The following is an 11,111-nucleotide window of genomic DNA, read 5'->3' on the forward strand; positions in this document are numbered from 1 at the left end:
GATGGCTACAATATCTCCCAGCTCACAATGCTTTTCTTCCAATGAGACCATGACATTTCTCCCACAGAATGGAGTAGGGGGCTCTGTGTTTCCTCCCCTCTAACCTGGGTGGATCTTGGTGACTGCTTTGACCGATAGAGCATGGCGGAAGTGATGCTGTATTCATCAGGGTTCTCCAAAGAAACACAACCAATAGGAGATAGCTACATCTCTCTACGTATTTATTTTGAGACAGTGTCTCACTCTGTCACACAAGCTGGAGCGCAGTGGCACGACCATGCTTCCCTGCAGCCTCAACTTCCCGGGCTCAAGCGATCCTCCCATCTCAGCCTCCTTAGTAGCTGGGACTACAGACACACACCACCATGCCTGGCTATTTTTTTTTCTTTTTTATTTTTTTGCAGACAGGGTTTAGCCCTGTTGCTCAGGCTGATCTCTGAACTCCTGAACCCAAGGAATCCACCTGCCTCAGCCTCTCAAATTGCTGGGATTATAGGCATGAGCCACCACGCCAGCCAGGATGAAGGTATTCTACTCTCTTTCTCTTTCTTTTTTTTTTTTGAGACGCAGTTTCACTCTTGTCGCCCAGGCTGGAGTGCAATGGCACAATCTTGGCTCACTGCAACCTCCGCCTCCCAGGTTCAAGCGATTCTCCTGCTTTAGCCTCCTGAGTAGCTGGGATTACAGGCGCCCGCCACCATGCCCAGCTAATTTTTTATATTTTTAGGAGAGACGAAGTTTCACTATGTTGGCCAGGCTGGTGTCAAACTCCTGACCTCAGGTGATCCACCCGCCTCGGCCTCCCAAAGTGCTGAGATTACAGGTGTGAGCCACCGCGCCCGGCCTCTACTCTCATATTATCCCAGCCTGCCACTTCTACTTCCTCAACCCTGCAAACATAATTATATCAAGATATTGGTTAAGCCAATATTTATTATTGACCCTATTATTTCTATGTGAGTGTTGTTCACTGTTGAGCTAAGTAATGCATTCGCATTACATTCTCTTTCTTATACTATTTAATTTCCCATTTGCTCAATTTCCCATGTCATTATTACTATTTCTTTCCACATTCTCCAACTGAATTGCAAAACCCCCGCATAAGATTTTCTACGTGGTCAAACACACATGAAATAATGTAGCTATCAGTGTCCATTTTCCCCTGGACTTCAGGGCCCCAGTTCCTTTCTGGACTGGCTCTCTCTGGGTGTAGCTGCCGTCTGGAGGCCCCTTTCACCTTTCTCCTGGGTCAGATCCCTTTGTCCTGACTGTGGTCCTACTCTTCAGTGGGTTATCCCCTCATTCTGGTGGAGTGTAGCCTCTGGTGGCTCTGGAAGAAGGTGCCCAGGAAGTGAAAATGTCTTTTTTTTTTTTTTTTGAGATGGGGTCTCCCTCTGTCACCCAGGCTGGAGTGCAGTGGCTCCAACTCTGCTCACTGCAACCTCCACTTCTTGGGTTCAAGCAATTCTCCTGCCTCAGCCTCCTGAGTAGCTGGGATTACAGGTGCGTGCCACCATGCCCGGCTAATGTTTTTTGTTTTTAGTAGAGACGGGGTTTCAGCATGTTGGTCAGGCTCGTCTCGAACTCCTGACCTCGTGATCCGCCCACCTCGGCCTCCCCAAGTGCTGGGATTACAGGCGTGAGCCACCATGCCTGGCCAGGAGGTGAAAATGTCTTTATTTTACTCTCTCATTTGATTAATGGTCTGGTGAGGCAGAGAATTCTAATTCAAAAAATTATTTTTTCCTCAAAATATTGAAAGCATTGTTTTGTTGTCTGCCAGTTTCCAATGCTGTTCTTGAGAGTTCCACTGCCATTCTGATTCCAGAATCTTTATGTGTAATATTTATTTTTTGCCTTCTATGGATTAATGTTTTCTCTTCATCTCCAGTGTTCCGAATTTTTTTTGTTGTTTGTTTTTGAGACAGGGTCTCACTCTGCCACCCAGACTGGAGTGCAGTGGCACGATCATAGCTCACTGGAACCTCCACCTCCCAGGCTCAAGCAATCCTCCGCCTCAGGCTCCTGAGAAGGTGGGACCACTGGCCTGCACCACCACACTGGACTAACTTTTTGATTTTTTGTATAGATGAGGTCTCAACATCTTGCCCAAGCTGCTCTGGAACTCCTGGGCTCAAGTGATCCTCCCACCATAGCCTCCCAAAGTGCTCGGATTACAGGTGTGAACCACCGTGCCCGGCCTCTTCTGAAATATTATGAAGATATGACTTAGTGTAGATCTTTTCATTAATTTTTCTGGATAGGCCCTTTGAATCTAGAGGCCCACTCTCCTGAGTTTTTTTTTCTTTGGTAATTTTCTCTTCTCTATATTCTACTTATTAAATTCCTGGCCGGGTGTGGTGGCTCATGCCTGTAATCCCAGCACTCTGGGAGGCAGAGGAGGGCAGATTACCTGAGGTCAGGAGTTCAAGACCAGCCTGGCCAACATGGTAAAACCCTTTCTCTATTAAAAATACAAAATTAGCCAGGTATGGTGGTGGGTGCCTGTAGTCCCAGCTACTCAGGAGGCTGAGTCAGGAGAATTGCTTGAACCCGGGAGGCAGAGGTTGCAGTGAGCCGAGATCGCGCCATTGCACTCCAGCCTGGGGCAACAAGAGTGAAACTCTATCTCAAAAAATTAATTAATTAATTAATTCCTATTAGTTGGCTATTAGACTATCTGGATAATCCTTTATTTTAAATTATTTTCTTGCTTGTCGTCCATTTATTTCTATATTATGGGAAATTGCCTCATTTCCCATAAAATTTGCTGTCACTTTATCTTATCTCTCTCTCTGAGAACAGCAATTTCATCTATTTCTGGAAGTGTTTGTCCATGTCCTGCATTGCCTTTTTCTTCAAAATTTTCCCCATCATTCGTTTGTTTATTTTAGTCCTTGTCTTTCATACGGGATCATGGAATGCCCAGCAATCCTTGTAGGACCATTCACATTAAACAGTGACTCACTACAAAGCTGAGAGGAAACATGAGCAAGGCTTGGTAATGTTGAACTTCACTCCAGGGTGATAGGGTCATGCCTGTTCAGAGAGTTATTTTCTTTTTCTTTCCTTTCTTTCTTTCTTTCTTTTTTCTTTTTTTTTGACGGAATCTCACTCTGTCACCAGGCTGGAGTGCAATGGTGCGATCTCAGTTCACTGCAACCTCTACTTCCCTGGTTCAAGCAATTCTCCTGCCTCAGCCTCCCGAGTAGCTGGGATTACAGGCGTTGGTCACCACACCCAGCTAATTATTTGTATTTTTAGTAGAGGCGGGGTTTCACCATGTTGGCTAGGCTAGTCTCGAACTCCTGACCTTAAATGATCTTCCCACCTCGGCCTCCCAAAGTGTTGGGATTACAGGCATGAGCCACCGCGCCCGGGTATTTATTTATTTATTTATTTATTTATTTTAGAGACAGTGTCTCACTCTGTCACCTAGGCTCTCACTGCAGCCTCCATCTCTTGGCCTCACTCAATCCTCCCACTTTGGCCTCGCAAAATGCTGGGATTACAGGCGTCAGCCACCACGCGTGGCCCAGCTATTTAATATTTTAACGGAACAGTTTTTCCAAGAAAAACTCATTCTTCTACCTGAGAACAGGGGTGGGGCTACCATACACTCTGAGGACAAGCAGGGATAGGGCCTGGCTGCATTTCATGTAGCCCCTCTTGCTTTCAGCCCAGTGCCTCGTCCCTGCCTTCCAGAATGTCAGCTGTTCCCGAATCTGGACCCCTGCAGTTCCATTTCCCCAAAAATTAGCTTCTGGACTCGTGCCGGCAGGGCGGGGGCAGGGTGGAGGGGAGGAGTGTTCACCTGGCTATGTGGAGAGGTGGAGGGAACATGATGGGAACTCTTCCACAGGTTTGGAACCAGTTTCCCTGTTTCCAGCCCCACTTGGCAGAACCTGTCTCTCGCAGTCCGAGCCTTTAACGGTTTTTTGTGTACATCAGCATCCTCCTCTGATCTGGTGCCGCTTCCCTGCTATGTGAGTTACTCGCTTCTTATGACTTCCGTAGTCTCAAAATATACTGCTGTCATTCACTGTAATATTCTCTTCTGTTCTCTTTGATGCTATGGGTTTAGACTCATTTTATTTCTTTTCTGTCATTTTAGTAGACCCCAGGAAGCCATGGAGACAAACATTGTGTTGACTCTGCTGTGTTTAATCAGCAATCTCCCTACCTACTTGGTAAGATTATCATCAGTATCAACTTGGACAATATATGCAAGTGCTTTGCAAGCTCTAAAATGTCATCCACGTGTGATTTACTATCATTTGATCCCTAAGACACCTCGAGAGATTTTTTTCTGCTGTGACTTTTCTCTTGCTACTTTTGACAAAACGAGCACTTCAGTGCTGGCAGCTGTCCATCTAGCAATAATCTTTAAGGTCCCAAACAAGATGAAAATGACTAAAACGCTCACAATTGTATGTGTTATACAAAAGAAGTTGAAAATGCCATACTGAATGGTAGGCTAAATGAAATGTACTATGCTAGAATTTCCAGCAAAAGTCTCTTAAAAGCTGGGTGCAGTCATGTATTCCTGTAGTCTAAGCTACTTGGGAGATTGAGGTGGGAGGATCATTTAGGGTCCAGGAGTTCAAGACCAGCCTGGGAAACATAGCAAGACCCCATCTCTAAAAAAAAAAAAAAATTCTTTCTGCTCCGCTCACCCACAAAACCCCCAGGTAAGTGCGCTACTTGCCCCTGTGCTCCACAGGCCCTGTGCACAGAACTCTTACACCACTGCCCACTCTGTGGAAATTGTTTATTTCTTGTTGGTTGCACCCTCTGGTTATGGGTTATGTCTTACTCATCTCTTTATCCCCAGCACCTAGTAGAGTGCCTGGAATACAGTAGCTCCTCAATATTTAATGATTCGAAACACTGCAGACAACCGCATTCAAATAGTATCCCGTTTTTTTGGGAAAATGCTTCTAAAGGGGATGACCAGATATTCCACTTGAAATGTTAAGAAAACAAAAATTGGAAATTCTTTCTCCTTTTTTTTTTTGAGACAGAGTTTCCCTCTTGTTGCCCAGGCTGGAGTGCAGTGGTGCGATCTCAGGTCACGGCAACCTCCGCCTCCCGGGTTCAAGCCATTCTCCTGCCTCAGCCTCCAGAGTAGCTGGGATTACAGGCATGCTCCACCATGCCTGGCTAATTTTGTATTTTTAGTAGAGACGGGGTTTCTCTATGTTGGTCAGGCTGGTCTCAAACTCTGCACCTCAGGCAATCCGCCTGCTTCGGCCTCCCAAAGTGCTGGGATGACAGGCGTGAGCCGCCGTGCCCAGCCTTCTTTCTCCCTTATAAAGACAAAGGAGGCTGGGCTTGGTGGCTCACATCTGTCATCCCAACACTTTGGGAGGCCAAGGCAGGTGGATCACCTGAGGTCAGGAGTTTGAGACCAGCCTGACCAATATGGTGAAACTCCATCTCTACTGAAAATACAAAAATCAGCTGGGCGTGGTGGTGGGCACCTGTAATCCCAGCTACTCAGGAGGCTGAGACAGGAGAATTGCTTGAACCCGGGAGGCAGAGGTTGCAGTGAGCTGAGATTGCACCACTGCACTCCAGCCTGGGCAACAGAGCGAGACTCCATCTCAAAAAAAAAAAAAAAAAAAAAAAAAGACAAAGGAGAACATTTTGGATCTGTCTGACAGCTTGCTTCATCTTTTCATGCAATGGGAGAAGAAGGATAGAGAAATAAAACTCCAGTTCTGGCAGCACCAGACAGCCCAGACACAAGTGTTAAGCACAAAAGGAGAGGCAGCATGGATCCTGGCAGCTCTTGTGTTGCATGAAAAACACCTGCTCTGTTGGCAGCCAGGAGAGAAAAACCAGAATAGCACAGGCTCACCCACTCACGAAAACACAGGAACTCCCCTGTATGTAGGCAAGAGGGGCTGGGGAGCATCAGCAGACAGGCCTAGTGAAGCTTACCTGGAAAATGTACCCTATACTCTTTAAAAGGACTTGAATTTCCTTCAGAATGAGAAGAGAATGAAATTCAACACCTTTCTTTCTTAGAGGCAGCTAGGCCTGATCAGAGCCCACAAGGTTGCAAGCTTGCCGGAAGCTTGACTCAGCCAGGACTAGCCACACACGAATGAGGCCTGGGGCCAGAATCGCCCCTGGGGGAGGCTCCCTCGGCCACACTGTGAGGAAATTGCTGAGGAACATGCCATCCACTCTGCTGGGGGTACCCCACAGTGGGCATTGCACTCAGAGTTCTGGGGGAATGGGGCAAGATTTGGAGATAACAGTATTGAGAACACTGAGGGCAGCAACCAAAATAAGCAAGCAAGGAGACCTACAAATCAGGAAACATGGCGACAGGGAAGGCCTGAGCCATGAAGACCACGGTATTAACCCGCGAGGATGACCCTCTTGTATCTTCAACATCATGTGTCCAAAATAGCCCTTTGAGATGTTCCTTAAGAAAAGCGTTCATGGGCCCGGCACAGTGGCTCACACCTGCAAACCCAGCACTTTGGGAGGCTGAGGCAGGAGGATCACTTGACCCCAGGAGTTCGAGACCAGCCCAGGGAAAATAAGGAGTCCCCCATCTCTACCAAAAAAAAAAAAAGACACAGAGAGAAGAGTTCTACCAGAAAATCAATACCACATGTTTTCACTTGTAAGTGGGAGCTAAACACTGGGTCTGTACAGACATAAAGATGGAAACAATGGACACTGGGCACTCCAGAAAGAGGGAGTGGGGAGGCAGACGGGGTTAAAAACCACTTCCTGGGGGCCCTGTGTCCACAGTTTGGGAGACAGGTTCAATAGGAGCCCAAACCTCGGCATTATGAGTATATCCATGTAACAAATCTGGACATATACCCCTTGAATCTACCTTTTTTTTTTTTTTTTTTTGATGGAGTCGCACTCTGTCACCAGGTTGGAGTGCAGTGGCACAATCTCGGCTCACTGCAACCTCTGCCTCCCGGGTTCAAGTGATTCTCCTGCCTCAGTCTCCAGAGTAGCTGGGACTACAGGCGCGTGCCACCACGCCCAGCTAATTTTTTGTATTTTTTTTAGTAGAGACGGGGTTTCACCATGTTGGCCAGGATGGTCTCGATCTCCTGACCTCGTGATCCGTCCGCCTTGGGCTCCCAAAGTGCTGGGATTACAGGCGTGAGCCACTGCACCCAGTCCTAATTTTTTTTTTTTTAATTAAAAAGAAAGGGTTCTATGGTCACAGAAATTTGGGAAATGCTGCCTGCAATAAACCCCCATAGGGATTTACAATGAACAGTAACCTCTGGAAGGCCCTGAGCAGTTCTTCAAGAAAGGAAAAAGACAAAAACAGAAAAAATGACACCTGGATTTCCCACTTTCCTTCAAGCAAGGCCTGTTAACATCCTGCAGAACTAGTGTTCCAGGGACCATAAAATGGTAACTGCTGTTCTACCCAGCCTTGACAGTTGAAGCTCGTCTTTAGCAATGACACAACTTTCAGAATTTTGTAGTGAAAGATACGTTTTGTTATAAACATTAGTTGTGAATTTTTAAATCCTTTTTTCTCAAGTAACATCTCACAGCGGAAAATCCACCATGTTTCTGAAATGTTGTTTTGTTTTTCCAATTAACTTTTTTTTATATAGACTCAATTTGTTTAGCACTGTTTGGGCAAAACTGAGCAGAAAGCAATGTTCCCAGATGCCTCCTCCCCACCCCTCCCCCTCAGACTCCCCCATATCAACACATAGAGTGCCCCACAGTGGCACATTCTTACGAACAATCAACGAACCTGCACAGATAGTCATTATCACCCAAAGTCCGTAGTTCACATTGGGGTTCACTCTTGGTACTGTGCATTCTATGAGTCTTGACAAGTATATGATGACACGTATCCACCAGTGCAATAATATACAGAGTCGTTTCACTGCCCTAAAAATCCTCCGTGTTCTGCCTGTTCACCCCTCCCTCCCACTAACCCCTGGCAACTACCAAACTTTTTACTGTCATCATAGTTTTGCCTTTTCTAGAATGTCATATAATTGGAATCCTTATAATGTTTTTGTTTTTGTTAAATCTTATGGTATTTCTGTGTAAAAGGAAATTAAAGAGAGAGAGAGAGAAATAACACCCCTTCCATGGAAGATCACTGGCTCATTCTTTACTTTATAACAGGGTTTCTCAACCTTAGCACTATTGGTGTTTTGCACCAGATAATTCTTTGGTGTTGGGCAGGGAAGGGGGTGTTGTCATGTGTGGTTTATTTTTTTTTTTTTAGATGGAGTCTCGCTCTGTCTCCCAGGCTGGGGTGCAATGGAGAGATGTCGGCTCACTGCAACCTCCACCTCCCGGGTTCAAGTGATTCTCCGGCCTCAGTCTCTCGAGTAGCTGGGATTATAGGCACCCACCACCACGCCCGGCTAATTATTTGTATCTTTAGTAGAGATGGGGTTTCACCATGTTGGCCAGGCTGGTCTCGAAGTCCTGACTTCGTGATTCACCCGCCTCGGCCTCCCAAAGTGCTGGGATTACAGGTGTGAGCCACCGCGCCCGGCCTGTTTTGTGTATTTTATAGGATGTTCAGTGGCATCCCCAGCCTCTATCCACTATATAGGAAGGACCACCTTCCCAAGTTGTGACCATCAAAAACATCTCAGACATTACCAGATGTCCCCTGGAAGCGAAATCATTCGGACTGAGAACCACTGGTCTAAAGGAGACATTCAAACTTCATCAGAAAATCTCACAAATATTTTATATGTAGTCATTTACCTCTGGTAAGCATTTGGCCACCTAAAATGTTTGGTAAGGGTCGGGCACAGTGGCTCACGCCTGTAATCCCAGCACTTTGGGAGGCCGAGGTGGGCAGATCACCTGAGATCAGGAGTTCAAGACCAGCCTGGCCAATGTGGTGAAACCCCGTCTCTACTAAAAATACAAAAGTTAGCTGGGCATGGTAGCAGGTGCCTGTAATCCCAGCTATTCAGGAGGCTGAGGCAGGAGAATCGCTTGAACCCAGGAGGCAGAGGTTGCCGTGAGTGGAGATCGTGTCACTGCACTCCAGCCTGGGCAACAGAGGGAGACTCCATCTCAAAAAAAAAAAAAAAAAAAAAAAGCCTTGGTAAGGAGTAGGAAAATGAGGTATAGAGATCAAGGAGTTGCAGCCGAAATCTACAGGATGACCACGAATATGGACTTTTAATCTCACACAACAAACTGTATTATTCTTTAAGCAAAACAGCACATAAGCAAATCAGATAATAAAAGTTTTTTTTTTTTTTAAAGAGATTTTCTCCTTGAAACCTTGTTAAAGGAAAATACTTGAACCCTCGTTTTGGGGTTGTTTTCATGTCGTCTCTAGATCTGAAAAGAGTTTGATCCTGTTCAGATGTTCTTTAAATGTTCATAGAAGGTAAATTCTTGCTCTCTTTAAGAATTAAAAGCTAATACTTGACATAACTTTCTTAGACTATAAAATACATCTGATAAAAGTCTACTTTAAAAAAAGCATTTGCTGGGTGTAGTGGCTCATGCCTGTAATCCCAGGACTTTGGTAGGCCTAGGCATGGTGGCTCATGCCTGTAATCCCAGCTGCTTGGGAGGCTGAGGCAGGAGAATTGCTTGAACCCGGGAGGTGGAGATTGCGGTGAGCCAAGATCACACCATTGTACTCCAGCCTGGGCAACAAGAGTGAAACTCCGTCTCAAAAAAAAAAAAAAAAAAAAAAAAAAAAAAGCATTAGAGGCCGGCTGCGAGTTTCATGCCTGCAATCCCAGCACTCTGGGAGGCCAAGGTGGGCAGATCACTTGAGGCCAGGAGTTCAAGACCAGCCTGGCCAACATAGCAAAACCTCGTCTCTACTAAAAATACAAAAAATTCACTCGACATGGTTGTGTACGTCTGTAGTCCCAACTGCTCGAGAGACTGAGGCAGGAGAATCACTTGAACCCGGGAGGCAGAGGTTGCAGTGAGCCAAGATCATGCCACTGCACTACAGCCTGGGTGACAGAGCAAGACCGTCTCAAAAAAAAAAAAGGGTTAGAAATTTAGAGTGAGATACTTCTGCTCCAATAAACTGTGGCCCAAGCGTGTGAGACCACATACTAAAAACAGGCCAGGCCAGACACGGTGACTCATGCCTATAATCCCAGTGCTTTGAAAGGCTGAGGTGGGAGGATCGCTTGAGTTCAGGAGTTCGAGACTGACCTGAGTAACATGGGGAAACCCTGTCTCTAAAAAAAAAAAAAAAAAATTAAAAATTAGCCAGGTGTGGTGGTGCATGCCTGTAGTCCCAGCTAGTCCAGAGGCTGAGGCAGGAGGAAGGTTGCAATCAGGAGTTCGAGGCTGCAGTGAGCTATGATCATGCCAGCGTAGGCAACAGAGCAGGGATACCCCATCTCAAGAAAGGAAGGAAGGAAGGAAGAAAGGAAGGAGCAAACATCCCAAAAGGTAGTTTGAGAAGAGGGGGAACTCTTACAATGTCACTTACCAGAATAGACCAACAGCAATTTTTTAGTGACATGCTTTTGATTTTAGTCCCAAATCCCTAGTTTTTATTGAATGTGGCCAGCAAAGCCCTGCATGGTGTGATCCCTGCCCACCCAGACAGTCTCTCTCACGTGACTCCTCCCAGCCCCACCCCACTTCTCAGTCAGATTGGACTTCTTGCCACCGCAGGGTTTTTACCTCTGCTATTTCCACTGCCTGGCACCATTTCTTCCTCTCATCCTTATCCTGTCTCAGCCTATTCAGTCTTAGTCCATTCGGGGTGCTATAACAAAATAGCATAACTGGCCGCTTACAAACAACAGAAATGTATTATCTCAGAATGCTGAAAACAGAAAAGTCCAAGATGAAGGCGCTGGCAAATTCCGTGTCTGGTGAGTGCACACTTCCGGTTCGGAGACGGCACCTTCTCACTGTGTCCTCACGGTGGAGGGGACTGGGGGCTCGCAGGGACTCTTTTTTTTTTTTTTTTGAGACGGAATTTCGCTTTTTTTGTCCAGGCTGGAGTTCAACGGCGCGATCTCGGCGCGCTGCAACCTCCGCCTCCCCGGTTCAAGCGATTCTCCTGCCTCAGCCTCTCGAGTAGCTGGGACTACAGGCGCCCGCCACCACACGTGACTAATTTTTTTTTTTTTTTT

At 46.3% G+C, this 11,111-nt stretch overlaps 1 protein-coding gene across 1 annotated transcript in view; it reads right to left on the reverse strand.

The window, feature by feature from the left end:
- Positions 1-11,111, reverse strand: part of LOC124904588 (UPF0764 protein C16orf89-like) — a gene marked incomplete at its 5' end in the record, with an annotated part of 43,053 nt that overhangs the window by 29,328 nt on the left and 2,614 nt on the right. The window contains one exon of the mRNA XM_047439568.1: positions 5,374-5,439. Coding sequence (XP_047295524.1) covers positions 5,374-5,439 — 66 coding nt within the window. The remainder of the gene's footprint in view (positions 1-5,373; positions 5,440-11,111) is intronic.

The sequence above is a fragment of the Homo sapiens genome, chromosome 1 (assembly GCF_000001405.40).
Source record: "Homo sapiens chromosome 1, GRCh38.p14 Primary Assembly".
NCBI lineage: Eukaryota > Metazoa > Chordata > Mammalia > Primates > Hominidae > Homo > Homo sapiens.